Consider the following 23,051-nt stretch of genomic DNA (forward strand, 5'->3'; position numbering starts at 1 on the left):
TTTTAGAAGTCAATGAGAAACATGGAAAGCTTAAATTCTTCGTCAAATTAAATGTGGCAAAGAAGACATCAGAATGTTACAAGAGTCTATTGGAAATATATCTGCTCATTGGTTCTTGTATAGTCTTCTTTCTGCAGAGATCTATATTTATGCATGTTCCTTGTTTGCTTCCTTAGAAATCTATAAATTATATCTATATCTGTCAGTCTGACAAATGTATTACCTTATACACCCATGGAGAATTTTATCAGGATAATTTTAATGGCCTGTAGCTATTGAACACAGCTGGTGACAAATCATTTCTTCTGTTATTGACCACAGCATTAAAACCATTTTCAAAACAGTATTCAAGAAAGCCAGAAAATTGGGTACATTGTGTATCTTCTATTGAAATAAGATACTGTTTGTAAACAAAAATGTACATGTTCTTATCTTTATAACTGAATTTAAATTTCAGTTAATTAATAAATGCTTTATTATTATGTTTGACTCTGAAGAAATCTTTAAATTTAAGCTTTGAAAAAAAGACATTATAAAATTATATCACTCAGGGGAATGAAAAGGTTAAATAACTCTTATTCCTAACTTTTCACATTCAAAGTGCAACTATAATTTCAAAGTTTTTCAGAATTTTAATCTCTACTGTGTGTCTAGTACTTTAATATGTAATTTAATCTTCACCAAAAAAACTTCATGAAGTAGGTAATCTACTCATGATCGATTCTATCTATCACTATTTTACTGATTAGAAAACTGAGTCTTGAATACAGTGAGTATATTGACCAAAATGTATACAGTTGGCAAATGTCAACTAGGACCTTTCTACTAACAAAGTTTTTTTTGGTTTTGTTTTAATTAGGCAATATGCACTCAGTTATATAATAGAGGATGATTATATAAATGGAACTCTGATTTGGTAAATTGTTTTTAAAAACTAGGGATTCAAAAATTCCTAGAGTATCTATTTTCTTTCTCCTCTTCCCTTTTCTGCTCTGTAGTATTTAGTGGTGTATCATTCTAAGAAAATAAAACTAATATACAAGTTCATAATAATGTTCTTCAAGCACCCTATGTAGCAAAAGCCATAAACCCAATTTATTTCAGAGTAGTTTTCAGATCACTATGTTTGAGAAATTGCTGTGTAATTTCAGAATCAACAGCTAACAGACTTGGCTTATAGGTTTTATTTTTTTCTTATGAGAAGAAATATCATTTAATGTCCACCATCAATTGTAACATTGCACTGAGGTTTTAGTAAAATAATTTGCTTTTACTTTCTATTATAGTCTTTAGAGTGCTTTAATTGGAATCCCATTATTATCTTTTCATTGAATTTCAGTCCAAGGTAGATCATAAAGGCAGCTAACTGCATTAATAAGAAGTACTTTTACTATTTCAAAAGTAAAAATATTTCACTATTTTTGTGTCTTGAATATGAAGATTAGGTATTCTTATAAGAAAAGAAAAAAAATACTGAGTGACTTCTTTAATCTTTTTCAATCTTATGACTAATTCTTTCTTTTTTAATTAAATATTCTTCTTAGGATTAATAATTCCCTTAAAATAATAAAATAATTATAAAATGTATTTGCTCAGGCCTATCGTATTCTGCAATTTCCAACATTACAAATTTTTTTATTCATTCATTCATCCATAAAATATTATTTAAAACCTACTCTGTGCCACCTCTTTTGCTAGAATCTAAGAATAAAATGGTAGAACAAAACAGTGTATTGGCCTGGAAGTTATTAAACAAATAATCATAAAAATGTATTATGATAAATTATGTTAAGTGCTTTGAAGAAAATGTGCAGGAACTTCTAGGAACATGTGTTAAAGAGACCTGACCTGGGGTGGTGAAGTGAGGAAGTTGGGATAGGAAGTCTTCTCTGAAAAAATAATGTTAAAACAGATTTTTTTAAAGGAATGTGTAATAATTAGGCAGAGAAGAAGGGATACAATAAACTAAAAAGCTTTTGCACAGCAAAAGTAGCTATCAGCAGAGTAAACATACAACCCACAGAGTGGGAGAAAATCTTCACAATCTACACATGTGACAAATGACTGATATCCAGAATCTGCAACAAACTCAAACAAATTAGCAAGAAAAAAACAATCCCATCAAAAAGTGGGCTAAGGACATGAATAGACAATTCTCAGAAGAAGATATACAAATGGCAAACAAACATACAAAAAAATGCTCAACATAGCAAATGATCAGGGAAATTCAAATCAAAACCACAATGCAATACAACCTTACTTCTGGAAGAATGGCCATAATCAAAAAAATTAAAAAATAATCAATGGTGTGGATGTAGTGAAAAGGAAACACTTCTACAGTGCTGGTCGAATGTAAACTAGTATAACCACTATAAAAAACCAGCGTAGAGATTCCTTAAAGAACTAAAAGTAGAACTACTGTTTGATCCAGCACTTCCACTACTGGGTATCTACCCAGAGGAAAAGCAGTCATTATACGAAAAAGATACTTGCACATGCATGTTTACAGTAACACAATTTGCAATTGCAAAAATGTGGAACCAGCCCAAATGTCCATCAATCAACGAGTAGATAAAGAAACTGTGCTACGTGTGTGTGTATGTATGTGTGTGTATATATACATATATACATATATATATAATATATATATTATATATACATATATACATATATATATATTATATATATATATATATAAATAAATACTACTCAGCTATTGAAAGAATTAATGGCATTTGCAGCAACCTGAATGGGATTGGAGACTATTATTCTAAGTGAAGTAACTCAAGAATGGAAAACCAAACATCATATGTTCTACTCCTAAGTGGGAGCTAAGCTATGAGGATGCAAAGGCATAAGAATGATACCATGGATTTGGGGACTCGGGGAAAGGGTGGGAAGAGCGTGAGGGATAAAAGACTACAAATTGGGTTCAGCGTATACTGCTTGGGTGATGGATGCACCAAAATCTCACAAATCACCCCTAAAGAACTTACTGGTGTAATAAATACCACCTGTTCCCCAAAACCCTATGGAAATAAAAAAATTAAAAAAAATACACAAACAGAAGACCCTGAAGTGAGGAAGAGCATTGCTGGCTTAGAGAGAAAAACATGCAATAAGCCAAGAGAGTAGTTACAGGAGAGACTGCACAGGGCCTGGGGACCATTCTGTTTTGGAGTCTCTACCCCATGAGCACTGGGAAATCACTGAAGGATTATACCTAACTGATATTAAATATTTAGACATGATTGTATATCTAGAAAACCCCATTGTCTCAGCCCAAAATCTCCTTAAGCTGATAAGCAACTTCAGCAAAGTCTCAGGATACAAAATCAATGTACAAAAATCACAAGCTTTCTTATACACCAATAACAGACAAACAGAGAGCCAAATCATGAGTGAACTCCCATTCACAATTGCTTCAAAGAGAATAAAATACTTAGGAATCCAACTTACAAGGGATGTGAAGGACCTCTTCAAGGAGAACTACAAACCACTGCTCAATGAAATAAAAGAGAATACAAACAAATGGAAGAACATTCCATGCTCATGGGTAGGAAGAATCAATATCGTGAAAATGGCCATACTGCCCAAGGTAATTTATAGATTCAATGCCATCCCCATCAGGCTACCAATGACTTTCTTCACAGAATTGGAAAAAACTACTTTAAAGTTCATATGGAACCAAAAAAGAGCCCGCATCGCCAAGTCAATCCTAAGCCAAAAGAACAAAGCTGGAGGCATCACGCTACCTGACTTCAAACTATACTACAAGTTTACAGTAACCAAAACAGCATGGTACTGGTACCAAAACAGAGATATAGACCAATGGAACAGAACAGAGCCCTCAGAAATAATGCCGCATATCTACAACTATCTGATCTTTGACAAACCTGAGAAAAACAAGCAATGGGGAAAGGATTCCCTATTTAATAAATGGTGCTGGGAAAACTGGCTAGCCATATGTAGAAAGCTGAAACTGGATCCCTTCCTTATACCTTATACAAAAATTAATTCAAGATGGATTAAGGACTTAAACGTTAGACCTAAAACCATAAAAACCCTAGAAGAAAACCTAGGCATTACCATTCAGGACATAAGCATAGGCAAGGACTTCATGTCCAAAACACCAAAAGCAATGTCAACAAAAGCCAAAATTGACAAATGGGATCTAATTAAACTAAAGAGCTTCTGCACAGCAAAAGAAACTACCTCAGAGTGAACAGGCAACCTACAAAATGGGAGAAAATTTTCGCAACCTACTCATCTGACAAAGGGATAATATCCAGAATCTACAATGAACTCAAACAAATTTACAAGAAAAAACAAACAACCCCATCAAAAAGTGGGCAAAGGATATGAACAGACACTTCTCAAAAGAAGACATTTATACAGCCAAAAAACACATGAAAAAAATGCTCATCATCACTGGCCATCAGAGAAATGCAAATCAAAACCACAATGAGATACCATCTCACACCAGTTAGAATGGCAATCATTAAAAAGTCAGGAAACAACAGGTGCTGGAGAGGATGTGGAGAAATAGGAACACTTTTCCACTGTTGGTGGGACTGTCAACTAGTTCAACCATTGTGGAAGTCAGTGTGGCGATTCCTCAGGGATCTAGAACTAGAAATACCATTTGACCCAGCCATCCCATTACTGGGTATATGCCCAAAGGACTATAAATCATGCTGCTATAAAGACACATGCACACATACGTTTATTGTGGCACTATTCACAATAGCAAAGACTTGGAACCAAGCCAAATGTCCAACAATGATAGACTGGATTAAGAAAATGTGGCACATATACACCATGGAATACTATGCAATATAATATGTTATGCAATATAATACTATGGAATATAAAAAATGATGAGTTCATGTCCTTTGTAGGGACATGGATGAAACTGGAAATCATCATTCTCAGTAAACTATTGCAAGGACAAAAAACCAAACACCGCATGTTCTCACTCATAGATGGGAATTGAACAATGAGAACACATGGACACAGGAAGGGGAACATCACACTCTGGGGACTGTTGTGGGTTGGGGGGAGGGGGGAGGGATAGCATTAGGAGATATACCTAACGCTAAATGACGAGTTAATGGGTACAGCACACCAGCATGGCACGTGTATACATATGTAACTAACCGGCACATTGTGCACATGTACCCTAAAACTTAAAGTATAATAATAATAATAATAAAAAAGAAAGAAGCATGAATCCTTAAAATAAATAAATAAATAAATATTTAGACATTTCTTTCTTATAAGGAGAACTTCCTCACAAGCTAGAAGAAGAAACACTCCCTTTGGCTGTAAATTTTAAAGTTGAACATTATAGACTGTATATCCATTTTGGAGTACAATGCTATCTTTCTATAAGGAAATAATAGTTTAGGATGCCCAAAAAGACCAATTACAATATTCATTGTTTGCTAGCATATGGCTTGGTAAGTCTTTACCAAGAGCAATCAGAATTTATCATAGAGCAATCCAAATTGCTCCATGATGGCTATTGAACACACACATTCTAAACTAAATTCTCTATAGATAATCCATTGACTTTGTTCACCATTACCTTGGGAAATCTGACATTCAGGGAAGTTAGATGGAGAGGCTGATTCTATTCTGAAAGTGTAAGTGTTGAGAATCTGCTGTCTGCAAATACTTAGGCTTTTTCTTCCTCTTCCTTTCCCAGTTGTCTTCTATTTCTTTAACATGTCTTCAAATCATGTTTTCCTTGTTCTTTCCTTTTTATGTTATATTATCTCTATGTTTCTCTATATTTTGGTATGATTTTTACTTCTTGTTTCACTATCTTCTCACTGTAAGTATACTTTTATCAAAATATCATTAATACATGCAAATGTAATGGTAAAGATATGTTAAAATGTCATTTAGCACCAAAATGTTACAATAAAAAACAAATCAGTCCCTTATTTTCACTTTTCTATCTCATCTTTCCATTCCCCAGATACAAGAACTTTTGACCATTTAAGTGTTCTCTGGGGGAAATAAACCTGCTAAATATATAAGTAATACAAATATTATAATCAATATTTAATAACTTCCAACATAATTCCTATTGCAAATAAGGATGTTAAGCAACCTATTCTGTTTTGTTTCTGTATTATACTACTTACATAATTATAACTTTTAAGTGTAATAAATACTTGCTTCATACATTTGCTTATTTTTAGTTAGTTACTAAAACTTTTCACGTATTTTGATGGTTTTGTCAAATACCTGTCAATAAAATTTTCCATAATATAAAACATCAGGTAGGAGTTTTTTAAAAGTTTGTTTTGGTTGTTTACCACAGCCTTCCCGTGTAGAGCTATGCAACTTCCTGATCCATTCCAGATGGCTACTTTATGGTATTATTACATGTTTTTCACCCCCCACCACCCCGGGAATTTCCTCTGTGGTCATATAGAAGCTGACTTCACCTAGCATCTATATTGGATTCCAGATTTCTGAGGCACATATGTTTCTTTGTCTTGGCTTACTCCTTTTTATTTTTAATGTGGTTGCTTTCTGAACAAAGAGTGCAAGTGAGATGAAGTGTTTGAGACTCAAAGTTAGAAAATACAGTTTTTGCTATTGTCACAGTTGATTGATAGTTTTGCTAGGTATAGAAGCCTAGGTTTAAGATTATTTCCTTTCACTCAAAAATAAAGCATTAATTTCAAGAGAAATTAAAGCATTGTACATTATCTTCTGCCTGCCAGTGTTCTAGTTTAAAAGCTCCATGCCTATTTTGTGGCTGATTCTATTCACAAAGCCTTTTTTATCACCTTTAGATGGTTTTGGGACTTTTATTATGGTTTTCTGATATATCCTGATGATATGCTTGGAAGTAAGCTTTTTGACTTTTTCTTTTTAAAATATTACAAAGTAATAGTTGCCAGTCAAATAGCAATAAAAGACTATAAACTCATCTCTCCCTTTCTCATTACTCATAGGTGGCTATTTTCTTTTGACATTAACTTCAGTATTTCTAAATAATAGGTATGCAATCATGTCTCTTGATCTCTATGATTTTCAATTTTAGAATACATGCGCTAATTTTTCATTATTTTCTCCTATTTTCTGTGAACATTTTTAAAACTTCTATTAAGCAAATGTTAAACCTTTCATATTGATTCCCTATTTTTCTATTTTTCCCCTATGGTTCTTCATTTGTTTGTTTTCTTCTACATTTCAGAAGAAGAATTTATTTACTATGTCTTACAACCTGGCCTTACTACCATATTTAGTTTGTTCTTAAATTATTATTCCTTTTGGCTGGGCATGGCGGTCTATGCCTATAATCCCAGCACTTTGAGAGGCCGAGGTGGGTGGATCATTTGATGTCAGGAGTTTGAGACCAGCCTGACCAACTTGGTGAAACCCTATCTCTACTAAAAATACAAAAAATTAGCCGGGCATGGTGGCAGGCACCTGTAGTCCCGCTAAGCAGGAGGCTGAGGCAGGAGAATTGCCTGAACCAGGAGGGTGGAGGTTGCAGTGAGCCGGGATTGCACCACTGGCATTCCAGCTTGGGCCACAGAGTGAGAGTCTACCTCAAAAAAAAAAAAAAAAAAAAATCCTTTTAAGATTTATTCTGCTTATTGGAGTTCCTTTATTCTGGAATTTTCCTTTTTAGGTGTTGCGGATTTGAAGCATTCCTTAAATGTTTCATGGCCACCATTTAGTATTTAAGACTGAAAATTTTCTATTTCCAGCAGTGACATTTTTGTTTGAGATATAAGTAGGAACTTGAGGTGTTTACTGCTATAAGTACAGACTTTCATTTTCCTCTTTTGAGTCCCTAATTCACCTCACTGCATTCCACTTTTTCAGTTTCTGGAGCATTTCTGGCTGGTTTCAGAGGTAATAGGTTTGTTTCTACTTCTTTGGAATCTTTAATCTATGGACACATAGCTCTAACTTCTATTAATACACACACGTATTAGCAACCCATATTCATTTTCACTCCTTTTACGTCTTCTTCTTAGCTACCAAAGGCTAGAAGCCAGCTGGGAACTTCATGTTTCAGAATTCTTTAGGAGTAGTGTTCTAATTTCGATTCTACCAATAAAAGCCACATGTTTAAGGTTTGGAAGTAGAGAAAAAAATTACCTTTGCAGGTACATGTGTTTTGCATATCACAGACATGAAATTTAGCAGGTAGTTTCCTGGTATTCTATTACAATCCTCCACTTTTGTGCTGAAGTCAGTTGATTCCCGATTTTCTCTCATTCCTGCAATTTTCCGATTTCCTAAAAGGTAGTAATGACTTTCTCTGATCTTCACTTCCTATACTTTTAAACATTTTGTGACTCCCAATTATCTCTATTTAATCTTTCCCTGCTTCAAAAATAGAAATGTGCCCGGGGGTGCGAAGTCATTTCTCTGTTATTCACCCGCCTTTTCATGTCATACACTCTGCTTCATTAAAAAAAAAAAATCTAATTTCATCAAATACTGAGTTCATTTATCTGGTTCTCAAACTTTTAAAAGTTATTTCTTTTTTTCATTTTAATCTGACACTTTTATTAATTTTTTGGATATTTTATTATAAATTTTTTTATTTTTTACTTTAAATTCTGGGATACATGTGCAGAATGTGCAGGTTTGTTACATAGGTAAACATGTGCCAGGGTGGTTTGCTGCACCCATCAACCTGTCATCTAGGTTTTAAGCCCTGCACACATTAGGTGTCTTTCCTAATGCTCTCCCTCCCCTTCCCCCAACCATCAACAGGCCCAGTGTGTGATGTTCCCCTCCCTGTGTCCATGTGTTCTCATTGTTCAACTTCCACTGATGTGGTGTTTGGTTTTCTGTTCCTGTGTTAGTTTGCTGAGAATGATGATTTCCAGTTTCATCCATGTCCCTACAAAGGACACGAACTCATCCTTTTTTATGGATGTATAGTATTCCATGGTGTATATGTGCCACGTTTTCTTTATCCAGTCTATCATTGATAGGCATTTGGGTTGGTTCCAAGTCTTTGCTATTGTAAATAGTGCTGCAACAGACAAACGTGTGCATGTCTTTATAGTAGAATGATTTATAATCCTTTGGGTATATACCTACTAATGGGATTGCTGGGTCAAGTGGTATTTCTGGTTCTAGATCCTTGAGGAATCGCCACACTGTCTTTCACAACAGTTGAACTAATTTACCCTCCCACCAACAACGTAAAAGCGTTCCTATTTCTTTTAGCAATTATTTATTTATTCAAGGAATAACTGAATACCACATTTAAGCCAATTCAGGGTGCATATAAAAAGGTGTTAAACCCTTCAAGCACTTATTGTAGTGATTAAGCCTCACATGGAATAAATAGTTAAAGTAGTCATTCAAGTAACAATTTCAATAAATATCAAATAAATATATGGAAAATAGAGAAGTCAGTATATTCAATATGACATGGAGAGGAAATTGCAGGGGGAAGGGAAGACTCAAAATGGACCCTTGATAAAAGTGCTTTTGGGAAAGGTAGAGAGAAGGAGGGGCAAGAGAAAGATGGAAAAGAATATACTTGCAAAGCCTTGGAACTAGAAATAATGGTAGCAACTTAGAAGCAGTAAGAATGAAACGGCATGAAGTGTAAATGATAAATCAGTTAGATTTATGAGCACAAGGTTACTAATGGCCTCAGAAACCAGGCCAACATCATTTTTATAAGAAATGGGAGTGGAGAATTATCAATCAGAGAAGATGGCATGATTACACTGTATTTTGAGACAACCAGTTTAGCCTTTGATTTAGCTGGCATGAATGCTATGAGCCTCCAAGTTGCCAGTTGAATTTAAAGGGGATTAAGCTCTACAGCCAAGGGAGGCTCATTATTAGTAAGGTGGTGACAGGTACCCAGAATGCCAAGGGTGCAATTATAGAAAATAAAATGTGCACTAGGAAGGTGAGCAAAAAGCAGACGAAAAACAATGACATTTGTCTTTGTCAAATGATGTATCCAGAAAGTCCATAGAACTTCAGGTATTGGAGTCTGAGAGCTTTCATAACTTTTGTTCTTGATTCCATAGTAGAAACTAAAATGCTGGTTGTTGTGATACAGTCTTTTAAACATGAGTAGCTCTATCTCTATTTCTTCTGTCTTTAAAGATTCTTAGCCAGTCTCTATGAAATCTATCATTGTCAACACCATATTTACCAGCACAAAAGATTGAAGGCACAGACAGTCTGAGCTACAACCCTGTTAAGACTCAGATAGAAATTAAAAGTGGAAAGGGATATATCGAAGATATATCAACAATTCTGAGCCTAGATAAGAATGAAAGAAAAATTCAGATTGGAGCTACCAGCTCACTGAAGAATAAGGTCATCTAGTTTTAAACATGTTTACTTGGAGATTTTAAAAGTCTTTTAAAACAGAAAATCTTTTAAAAACTATTTTTAAAATTTATTTTAAATTTTTAAGTGACACATTATAATTGAACATTTTATGGGGTATGCTTTGAGGTTTTAACACATATATGTTGTATAATATCACATCAGGTCATTAGCATCACCTCATGCATTTATCATTTCTTTGCAGTGAGAACATTCAAACGCTCTCTTCTGGCTATTTTGTAATATATATTACCTTACTGTTAACATTAGACACCGCCTGTGCAATAGAACACCAAAGCACCCTATTACTCCTAATTGTAACTTGTACCCATTAACCAGTCTCTCCCCATTCTTCCCTTCCCAGTCTCTACTAACCACAGCTCTATTCTCTGCTTCTATTATATGAATGTTTTCATTTTACCTTAGATTCCCCATATAAGTGAGATTGTGCAGTATTTATCGTTCAGTGTCTGTTTTTTTCATTTTATATGATGTCCTCCTGGTCCATCCATGTCATTGCAAATGAAATGCTTTTATCCTTTTTTATGGCTGAATAGTTTTTCATTGTGTATATATACTACATTATTAAAAATCTGTTCATCTGCTGTTGGCCACTTTGATTCTGTATCTTGGCTATTGTAAATGGTGTTGTAATAAACATAGAAGTATAGATATCTCTTTGATACATTGTTTTCATTTTTTCTGGATTTGTACCCAGGAGTGGGATTGCTGGATTATATGGTAGTTCTATTTCTAATTTCTTTTTTAAGAGACAGGGTCTCACCCTGTTGCCCAGGCTAAAATGCAGTAACATGATCATAGTTCACCGTAACCTTGAACTCCTGGGCTCATGTGATACTCCCACCTCAGCCTCCCAAGTATTACAGCTGAGAATACAAGCACACACCACCATACCTGGCTAATTATTATTATTTTCATTATTATTTTTTGTAGAGACAGGGTCTTGGTTTTTATTTATTCAGTCAAATTTTTTAATTTTTTTTGTAGAGACAGGGTCTTCTTATATTGCCCATGCTGGTCTCAAACTCTTGGCTTCAAACAATCCTCCAGCCTCAGCTTTCCAAAGCACTGGGATGAGAGGAGTGAGCCACCGTGCTCGGTCCTGTTTCTAATTTGTTGAGGAATTTTCATGTTTTTCAAAATTGTTCTATTAATTTCCAATCCCAGCAAAAGTGTGTAAGTGTTCCCTTCTCTACACATCGTTGCCAGCACTTGTTTTCCTTTGTCTTTTTGATAGCAGCCATTCTAACTGGAGTGAGATGTTTCATCATTTTGGTTTTGGTTTTGATTTTCCTGATGATTAGCAACGTTGAGCAGTTTAAAAATACACCTGGCAGCCATTTGCATGTCTTCTTTTGAGAAATGTCTGTTAAGACCTTTTGCCCATTTTTAAATCAGGCTATTTATTTATTTTTTATTTATTTTTGCTAAGTTTCTTATGTGTTCTGGAGATATACCTATATATTTATTTTGAGACAGTGTCTTGTTCTGTCACTCAGGCTATAGTACAGTGGTGCAATCATAGCTTACTGCAGCCTCAAATTCCTGGGCTCAAGCAATCCTCCTGTCTGAGCATTTCAAGTAGCTGGGACTACAGGCGCTTGCTGCTGTGTTCAGTGATCTTTCAGTCTTCATTTTTTGTAGAGATGGAGTACTGATTTGTTGTCTGAACTGGTCTCGAACTCCTGGACTCAAGAAATCTTCCAATCCCAGCCTCCTAAAGTGCTGAGATTATAGGTGTGAGCCACTACACCCAGCCTCTAGGTTTTTCATACTTGTTCATTACACATTTTGACCTTGGTTAGTTATAGTATCTTTGTTGGTGTTGGTGATTATTTGTAAATTATGTCAAACCAAAATTTAATTTATTTGCTGTCTGGCAACTCACAATACTTTACTTCTTCAAAAGCTTTTGTTAACTTATTTCCCTCATCTTGTCCTTTCATATTATGATCTCTTTCCTCACCTGGACCCAATTCTTGGGAGCAATCATATAAACAGAGTTCCAGAATTAGGAGAAAGAAATTAGTGTATGATGGTGTCATAGAACCGGGAATAACAGCATATAGCCTGCTATTCACAATACATGCATACCTGTACATGTATATCCATGTATGCATGCATGCCTATATATAAACACATACATATATATGTACCTCTCATATATATGTATGCATATAGGGGTGTTTTTATTTGTGTGTGTGTATAGATAGATAGGTAGGTAGATGGATGGATGGATGGATGGATGGATGGATGAATGGGTGGTAGGGAGGCTTTATGTCAATGTTTCTGTTTCTAAATCATCTAATCTAAAATAGTGTGCATTTGAGAAAGAGCCTAAGTGATTTTCAGGGACACAGAGTAATAAGATTAGATCACAGTCTCAATTCTGCTACTGACTGGTATCCAATGCTTTTTCAACTAGACAAAGAATTCTGAGAAGCTGTCTGATCAGACCTGTTGGGTGGCACGATATGCCCCAGGAGGGTTTTTCACTAGAATAAATTTTAATAGAAAATTGACTTAACCAGAAATCTGCCTCCCAATATAGACATAAAGTCAAATATCTAAAACTTCTGAGGAAGAGCCGCCCCTCTTACTCCTACACTAGCAAAGAAACTTCTGCATGAAAAAAGGAGACTCCAGTTCAGGACGTTTTGTTTTATAGAAGCATATCACGTCTATAATTTATCTTGATCTCAGTTGTAAAACAGGTTTGGGTTTTCTCGTGTTTTGTTTCCCTTTTTCTTCTTCCACCTTTGCATTTGCTTCCATATTTTTGGTTACTTTGGCATTTACTAAGAGTGAATCACTTAGGCTGTTTCTCAAACACACACTATTTTAGATTAGATGATTTAGTAACAGGAACATTGACATAAAGCCTTCCTATCCATCTATCTTTCTATGTATGTATGTATGTATGTATCTATGTATCTATATATGTGTGTATGTGTGTATCTATCATCTATCTTGGTATCTATACACACATATACACATATATAAAAACACACTGATATGCACATTTAATGGATGTCTCTATGATCATAGGAGAAGCTGTGATATTCACGTCAAACCCACTGTTTGCCAGACTGGGGTGATTCATCAAAGTGTCAAAATAGTGTAGGGAGAAATAAAAACACAGCCTATGTAAGCTGGTAGCTCTAAACATCAAATTTCCACCCAACCCACAAACCCTACCCAGAAAAAACTTCAAAAGGGTTTTGCTTAAGATGTTCCCCCGCCCCCTTCAGGCAGTGTACCCTTAATGATACTGTATTGATTTTGTAATGTTTAATTTAAAAGGGCAGTCAGGCTAGTACATAATCTTGTGTTGAATAAGACAGGGTCATTTATGTGGCAGTGCACCAGATGAAATGTAAAAGTACCAATTGACTAACAAGTACATAATTCAAGCCAAATCACATTAGGAGTGTTTGTGTAGACTTAAACAAAAAGCATACCAAGGGACGGTGGTGCATCTCTCCCTGGAAATCAAACTTGCACAAATGATATGGAGTTCTTAGAGTTGGGATTAAGAACTGACCCACTGTGGGAATTCACTCTTGCCTCCTGACCAGTGGTAGGGACTACCCTCCCATGCTTTCTGGTTCTGTAATAGTCAATTTTTAAATTTGGAAAAGGCAATAATAATTAGCCTGTATCATAGACTAATTCTGAGTGTTCATGAAACAGTACACAAAGTCCTTAGCATGCTGCCTGACATATTACAAATTTAATAGATGACTTTCATTCTTGTTCTTCTCCCTTATTCATTCATCCAGCAGATAATTGCTGAGTGTTTACTTACTGCTAGGTGCTGGGTGCCAGGCAAACAATAGATAAAGTTCATGTTCTAGGTGGGAGAAGGGTCAGGGCAATAAACAAGGATATTTATATGTATAATTGTATACATACATAAATTATATATAAATTATAAATCATATATAGTTATATATAAATTATAAATCATATATAACTATAATTATTATACATATAACTATAATTATTATACATATAACACATGTAAAATTATATGTATGTATAATTATATGTTATGTAATATAGTACACATATAATATACACATATATGTATACATATGTAATAGGTATAATATACATATATTATATATGTGTATATATATACATATATATACACATATATAATATATGTATAGGTATATACATATATATACATATATATGTATATAGGTATAATATACATATATACATATATACATATATGTATTATATATAATATATAATATATGTATAATAAAAATATATGTAGTATATATAATATAATATATTATGTATAATAATGTATATGTAATTGTATATAATATGTAGTATATATAATACTATATATACTATTATATACTATAATGATATATACTATATAATATTTGTAATTTAAATTTATATATAATTATAACTATATATGTATAATACATACACATATAATGTATCATATATAGTTATAATTATATATAAATTTATATTACAAATATTATAAATAATATATAATTATATATCTATACTATATAGTTTATGTATGCTATACATATATTATATGTATTATATATTATATATGTATATTATAATATATGTATTATATATAAATATAGCTATAATATATAAATTTGTAGTGTTACAAATTTATATAGTATATATTATATATTAATAATTGTACATAATTACGTTATTTATATATAATATCTATCTTTGTATCTATGTATCTTTTATATTTATATATATAATTATAATTGTTTATTGCCCCTGCCCTGACTATATGTATATATAGCCAGGTGGTAAAAATGCCATAACAACAACAAAAACACTAAGCCAATACGAAGGAATCGGTGTGCTGGGTGATGGTAGGAGGAGTACGCTGCTACTTTGATAGGGTGGTTAGACAAGTCCTCTCTATGGTGGTGACCTGTGGACAGAAACCTGATAAGTAGGAGAGAGCAAGCCCTGTGGATGTCTGAGGAAAAGCAGTTCAGGCCGACAGGGAAGTAGGTGTAAGGCCCTGAGGCTGGAAAGTGCTTTCTTTCTTAGAGTTCAAGTCAAAGTCACATATAAGACAAAATGAAGAAATAATGAGAGGGAAAGGAGAAATTGAAGGATTTTGTTGTTAGAGGAGAAATGGAATTCAAAAGTAGCTATACTATACTCAGCACTTACTATATATGCTCACTTGTTTCAAAATAGGTGCTCAGTAAATGTTTGTTGAGTGGATTTACAAGCAGTTACAATGTATTGCTACAGTTGATTGCTGTAGATACAGTTCTAAACACATTGTATGTGATATCACATGTAATCTCCACTATATAGATTAGTAAGCAACAGTCATATCATCAGTAAAATGTTAAGATAAATTATTAAAGATAGATTGTGAATATTTATGAAATAGCCAACAGTCTAAGAGTGTGTTTATTTACAGGAATACAAGCATTTCTTTCTATTGTTGATAGTCCCTAAATAATCAAGTCTTGGAATTGCAGATGATATTATAATTTCAGGTTGCATAAGAGTCTCATATTATCCTACCTCCATAAGCTGAACAAGTCAGGACATTTTTTACCTAATGAACAAGTTGAAATAGAGCTACTTCAAAAAAAAAATGCATGGAATCAGATTCCACAAATCTAAAATGAAATTCTCTCCTTTCTCTCTAAGCACTTTCCCTCTTCAGCTTTTGTAATTTGTGAAATAAAAAGGAAGGGGTCCCTTATATTTCAGGTGCCCAGAATCAACACTGTAATGTTTAAAACTCTTCCTTCTTCTTTATTCCCGTGGAAGTCCCAGCACACCCAGTGCTTGGGTCCTCCCAGTCATGCCCCAAACTATCTCTTTGAGCTGGCCTTTCCTCGCCACATTGAGGTGTCTATGTTTTACTTAGCCCTTTAAGACCATTTCTATTTTGACCTTGTAAACCATCACACTTGTGACCTCAGAGAGCAAACTAGTTCTAACTCACTAGTAATCTAGTCAATAAAGATAACAGTTTCCAGTTTTCTATTGAGTTGTATCTAAACTCTTTGTTCACCCATTTCTCAATCAGGAAGCTATGCTAATTTTGTAACTGGCATGGTTCAAGGTTCAGATGTAGGTGCAAAGATAAAGGTTTTATACAAAGTTATGACAGAAAGAACTTTGATTCTCAGACTTATAACTAATAGCAGGATGAATATTCAATAGATATAGTAAGAGATTTAGCTGAATGAGAAGTTAGGATGCTCTTGGAAAAGTTCTGGTATCAAGTGATATTTTCTGATTTAATAACCACATAATAAGCACATTTTACGTGCCTCAGAATTTACCTGCTACAGCTTTGGTAGGTTCCAATAGGCAAGTGTGGGGTTCTTGCCTTGGAATTTACATTTTGCCACAACACCGATCACGATATGAAGCTTACCCTATGCACCCAGTAAATAGATAGTTGTGGCTCTGTTGCTAGTTGAGTTTGTCACCTTGAGGAAATATATTGAGCTCTTGCACATTTTTTGGATTAGATCTTCTCTAAATTTTCATGTAGCTCTTAAAGTCCATGGTCAAACTTGAGTTAGATAATCAGAAAATTTCCCTGCATGCTGAATATGTTTCCTTAAGGATTGTTCATAAGATCAAACATTAAGTATCCAGTAATAGAAGATTGGTTAAATAAATTACGGCATATTATTATGATGGAATAACATGTTATTTTTAGTGACTGTAAATCTATTAGTACCTATTAACCATCATTCATTGTTGAATACAAAAACAGCTTGTATTCTCTGTGTTACATATATTATATATTTAAAAACAGTTAATCATACATAGTATTACCTCATTGATATTACATATTTATGGAAGGATATTAACCACAATTAATTTCTGGAAGAAAAAATTTCAGGTAAATTCTATTTTTGCCTTTATATTTCCTTCATTGTTTGATTATTTTCACAATGTTCTTGGATCATCTTAAAACTGAGATAAAAAAGCTGAACAAAATATTGGAAAAATAAAATTGACTACCATTGATTACCAAAATAAACATAAAATACAACCCTGTGATTATGTAAATGAATGTGTTTTCCTTCTAGAAATTTCAGAGCTTCCTCAACTTATAATCAGAACAAAAATCCCATTTCATTCAAATATTAGAACATTCTAATGGTAGAAGGGAGAGTGGATAATGCAAATGTAGATGTCTAATATTATGATTATAGCCTTCTTGTCTGAATTTTAAAAACAATACAGTCATTTTCTGAGGCAATGTAATGAGTTCATGAAGAAAAATCAAATTCTCAATATACGGGTCTCTCACTTTCTTTTTATTTATCGGTCATAACACGCAATTAACCCATTAAAAAGATTTCCCTTCAATGTCTCATGTGAAATGTGAACTGCTTCATTTCTTCCCTCTATCCCATGCGGTAAAAACCACAAAAGAATCATTGTACCTGAATCCAATTGGCAGAGCCCTTTTCAGTTTCAAAGTGGAACAGTTATTGCTGTTCTATGCCCCCTGCTTGAAATTCTGTATTCCCAATTTAGAGTGTCAAAAAGCAATGCCTAATTATTCTCATAGCAAAGATAATCACACCAATTATGATTTTTAAAAGAACTGAGGAGACAAAAGTATAGATAAGATTCACAAAGACAAGTTAGGGGGCGGGGGAAAGAGTGATTTTACATGTTACCAATCTGAACCTGCATAGTCTTTTCCTTTTGGAAAGAATAACAATATAAAATGTATGAAAGGATCACATTATCCTTATTAAATCCTTTGGAGGCGGAAGATCCGTCATTCGTATCATCTTACTTATTCCCACGCATAAGGACCACTGCCAGCCTCCTGTTGGTAGCTGTCAAAACCCCACCTTCTGCCCACTCCAAAATGTATTTAAAAAAAAAAAAGATTAGTGACAGCTCTAAGGAAATGAAAGTTGTGAAAGAAAATATTTTATTCAATCAAGAGAGTTTATCTTTAGATGACTCAATGGAATTTAGTAAAAGTTACAGAGAAACCATGAGTTGTAGATAAATTCCTAATCACCTCCCAAGGGCCTCACTTCTTGATACCATCACATTGTGGGTTCAGGTTTCAGTATATTGAATTTTTGAGGGGACACAGAATTTTAGTCCATAGCACTCTTCAGTTTGCTCTTTGGAATTAGGCAAGAAACAAATTAATGAATAATCAAAACACATATGTGAACTTGTTTCTATTTTACTTCTAAACATAGGGAAAACTTATGCTACATTAATAATAGTATCACAAATATTAATACAGTTATCTAGATTTTACTTTTAATACCTATCTCAAATATTTGATAATTCACCGTGAGATAGATTTTATTTTAAAATTTTACCTCACATTTTGGATCGTGTCAATCATGGTGATCAAAACAAGGTTGCATTTAATCTACAACCTACTAAGCCTGCAAAAAAATTCAACAAACAATTCATATATAAGCAATATTGTGCTAGAATTTAAATGATAGGATCCCAGAGAATCTGAAGACTCTAAAACTTGCTGACACAGTGGAATATATCGTCACGACAGCACATCTTTTTTCCTGTTCTTTGTTCTTTATTTCCATAGGAAGACAACTCATTTTCTCAGACAATTTGAGAAAACTGCCATGTTAGAAATCCTTTTTTAGAGAAGATAGGTTATGTAAAAAGCAGTAGAAATGTGTATCTTTTTGTCTTAGTTCAAACTATTATAACAAAGTAGCATAGACCGAGGGGCTTGTAAACAACAACAATGTGTGTCTCACAGTTCTGGAGGCTGGAAGTCCCAAATCAAGTTACCAGCATGGTTGGGTTCTGGTGAGGACCCTCTTCCAGGTTGCAGACTGGAAAATTCTTGTATCCTCGCATGGCCAATAGAGGAAGAGAAGAAGAAGCTGTCAGGCCTTTTAGGCACTCATTCCATTCATGAGGGTTCTACCTTCCTGACCTCTTCACTTCCCAAGGGCCCCGCCTGCTAACATCATCACACTGGGGCTTAGGGTCTCATTATATGAAGTTTTGAGGGGACACAGACTTGCAGTCCATAGCACCTTTCAGTTTACTGTTTGGAATTAGGAGAGAAATCAATGAATGAATAAATTAGTAAGAACTTACTGCCTGTAACAAGAACGCACAGTATGGGTTGCAGTGAACACAGGTGGAGACATAGGCGCCTGGCATCATTTTAAGCATCTCTGTAAATGAAGCAAGTGTGTAGTTGATATGGGGGACATTAGTTGACCTCCCTGCTGTCTGAGCTGCAATGATTTCATCCCATTTTCTACGAATACTCTAGATGTCGTCAGAAAATAATGCCCAGAGCTGCCACATGGCTGAGATGCGGGCCTTCCTGAAAGTGTCACACAAAGGGGTTCTCTGAGGACTCCCAGCCATGCACAGATCTCTTTTTCCCTCTCTGCCTGTTTCTCCACTCCCCCTCATGCCCACCCTCCTTCCACCCTTCCCTCAAATGTTCTGTAGCTGTCAGGTTTCTTTTATAGAAATAAGTGAAATTATAATGACACAAGAGTTAGACGTGCTGGAGATGAAAAGAAAGACTTTAAGGAAATAAAAAGGAATTGCCATGCTATTTGAAAGCCGTAAGAAGGAGGAAGGAGGGTAGATGAAGGATGTTACCCTGCTCGGGGACCTCTCTTCTTGCACATTTGACTTTCAAAAATGCCTCTGATCATTTCCCAGGGAGCTGGTGATGAATTGAGTTGGATCCAAACAAAGCCTTCACAGCTGGGGCTGGAAAACCTCGAGACCCAAAGACACTCTCCTTCTGGCCCAAATGGTCATAGCCTCTTATGAGGAGCTCACTAGGTGTGACCTCTTCAAGAAGTTTGTCATTGAGAACAGATGCCTTCCCACTTCCAGATTTTTATAACATTAGCCAGTTGTCTGTCGTATCTACGGGGGATATTCTGCTCAGGATTGATAACTGAGGTTGATGCTCTCTGTCCCGGTAGAAGCAGAGTATTAGAGCTTACAAAAATTTAGAGACTTATTGATTATAATAGCAAGCAAGCATTTGTATAGTACTTTACATTTTACAAAATGCATTCATGGACTTTATCATCTTTGTTTTTGTTTTTTGGGTTTCTTTTTTTTTCCTAAAAATTGTGTGGGTCTTGTGTCCTTATCATCACCATTTTACAAATTAAAAAGTGGTAAAAGTCACATACTTTGTAAGTACTAGAGCTAGATGTTAAACACAGACCTTTTATTTTAAAATATCTCATTTTATAGCTGAGGTAATTTATGCTCAAAATGTTAAGTGACTTGCACAAGATCTCTCTCAATTCTAAATGCAGAAGCAAAGCAGACATCGAAATCCTGGGCTTCTTGATCCTGAACAAGCAGCCATGACTCCCTATGTTCTGGCTGAAGGAATTGTTTTGGTGTGAAATCTATGTATTGTTTGTTGAGATAAGGCAGGTCTGGAGTGGAATATTGCAGCTTTAATTCTGAATATGATGAGGTTGAACTGTCTGCAGTGGAGCTGAGTGGAATTCCCTTAGGTATCTGGAACTAGTGTTCATGGAAGATACCTAGACAGGAGATACACACTTGGAATTCACTGGCAGTCAGACAGAAATTTAATCCAGAGGAATGGATAAAAATACCCAGCAGGAGTGCATTGAGCTAGAAGAGAAATGGATTTATAATTTAGTGCTGGAAGGTGGCAACATTTAAGTCATAGGTAGGAGGTAATATTTTTGAGCAAAGATGAGAAGAAATAACCAGATAATCGGGTAAACTGGGAAAGAGTTTTTCCCTGCAATCATAAAAATTTTTAAAATCTGCAAATTAAGTTTAGTAACTCATTTGGCAGCAAAGCTTGGCCTTACTGACGTGAGGATGCATACTGAATTCAGGGCCTTCCTCGATTTACTGTAATAAAAAAAAACCTCAGATTAGAATCATGATCTGATTAAGTGAACCGTAATTCTCTGTCATTCTAAATCTACCCATCTTCTGCAACAACCAAACTAGAGACAAAAGGGGTTGTGATGGTGTTACCTACTTTTGCCGCCATCGAGACCAAAATAGGGCATTGTCTTCAGAAGTTCTCTCAGCAACAGGTGTTGTGTGTGTCCTTGTCTTTTCCTAACATAACTCTTTGACGGAGAAAGCAAAAAGCCAACACAGGTAATCTGTCAACTCCTGAAGGCAGCCTTTCCAACTCTACACAAATTCAGGAAACAAACATGGAATGGGTTTGAGATAAGCCTGAGCCTATTGTGAGGTTGACTTTAGCTCAGCTTTTGTTTACCAAATGACTCCCTTGAGTCTCATGATAAGGTTCAGGACATGGCACCCCAAAATATGGTGCCTTGTCATTTGAGAAAACAGCAGAAAACACCTTCCCCTAGCTCCTTCTCCCCTGAAGCAAGTTATAAGCACCTATGTGAGAGATGCTTTCCGTGTATCCAGAGACAGGGAGTGTCCTTATCTCTGAAAACACAGGGACACAGAGAAGAATCTAAACAAACGGACATTGATAAGTCCCCCAGCTTTGTACCATTAGATCATACCCCCTTAGTACAATCATACTTCTGCATGCCTGCCTGCTTTTTCATCAGATTTACCATAAAAATATACAGGTTTTCCTGTTTCTTTGGGTTAATTTCCTTATGAAGTCTTCTGTGGCATGTAAAACATATGAAACAAATCTCTGTGTTTCCCTTTTGCTAGTCTATCTTTTGTTATAGAGACCTCAGCCATAAGCCTAACAAGGGATGAGGAAAACCAACTTTTCATCCCTTACATTCACCCTAACAAGTAGATCTTGGTGGCATTCTAGATCCCCAGAAATTACCATTCGCTCAGGGACACACTAAGAGCTCTGGCTGGATGTTTCCTTCTTACCGGTACACTGTTATCCTGGGTGTCGGTCACAGCTTTCACAGAGTCTTTACTAGAAGTTACCAAATACCTCCCTCTCTTCTGTCCTGGGTTTGTAAATTGATTGAGGTCAGAGTGAAGTGAGGAGTTGTGACTTCAATAAGGTTTCTTCAACCAGGCTGCTCTTGGGCTGGCCTGAACTTTTCTCATTGTACAAATTTGGTAGAAGAAAGACAATGGTGCTATGCACTTATGTGACCCTAGGGATCCATGGGAATGCAGTCATAGGTGGGGAAGTGCTAGGCTGTGTCCTGTTATGGTTATTACACACACTGTGCCTCTGCCAGCTAAATGCCAAATGTTGGTCTCCAGCAGCCTGGGATCCTGCCATCCCCTCTGAAAATCAGGAGCCCCTTCATCAGCAAGGGTTCCCATTCAACAGCAGCTCTGAGCTCCTAGATACAGCTACGAGGGCTGGCTCACTACCTTCACTTGCCCTGGGTATTTCTCAAGATTGGAATGGTCCCATCTTTCTGGTTCCCTCAGAGGCCATAGGCTAGTCTCAGGTGAGTGGTGGGATATAATATGATAAATCCATTCCACCACCCCTTTCTCGGTGGATATTTGGACTATTTCTTCAATCATATTCCAACAAATTTTGCAATGTTGCCTTCATTGAGACATTTTTAAAAAGAATGCAACTTGGGTTAATGGGATACAGTTTTGGTGGCGCCAGGTTTCATGATGGGGGCTTGTACCTGGTTGCGACCAGGGTATTTTGATCAGGGCGTGTATAGACTTACATTGAGTCAGACAGGTTCTTA

The 23,051-nt window shown here is 35.3% G+C and overlaps 1 annotated feature.

The window, feature by feature from the left end:
- Positions 21,337-21,506: an enhancer, noted in NCBI's record as "experimental_9687 CRE fragment used in MPRA reporter constructs". NCBI's record gives its function as "activates a minimal promoter by MPRAs in K562 erythroleukemia cells, with activity observed for the introgressed 10:10242106 variant allele {active_cell/tissue: K562}" and the evidence as "EXISTENCE:reporter gene assay evidence [ECO:0000049][PMID:34662402]".

Source organism: Homo sapiens, chromosome 10 (assembly GCF_000001405.40).
Source record: "Homo sapiens chromosome 10, GRCh38.p14 Primary Assembly".
In the NCBI taxonomy this organism is placed as follows: Eukaryota; Metazoa; Chordata; class Mammalia; order Primates; family Hominidae; genus Homo; species Homo sapiens.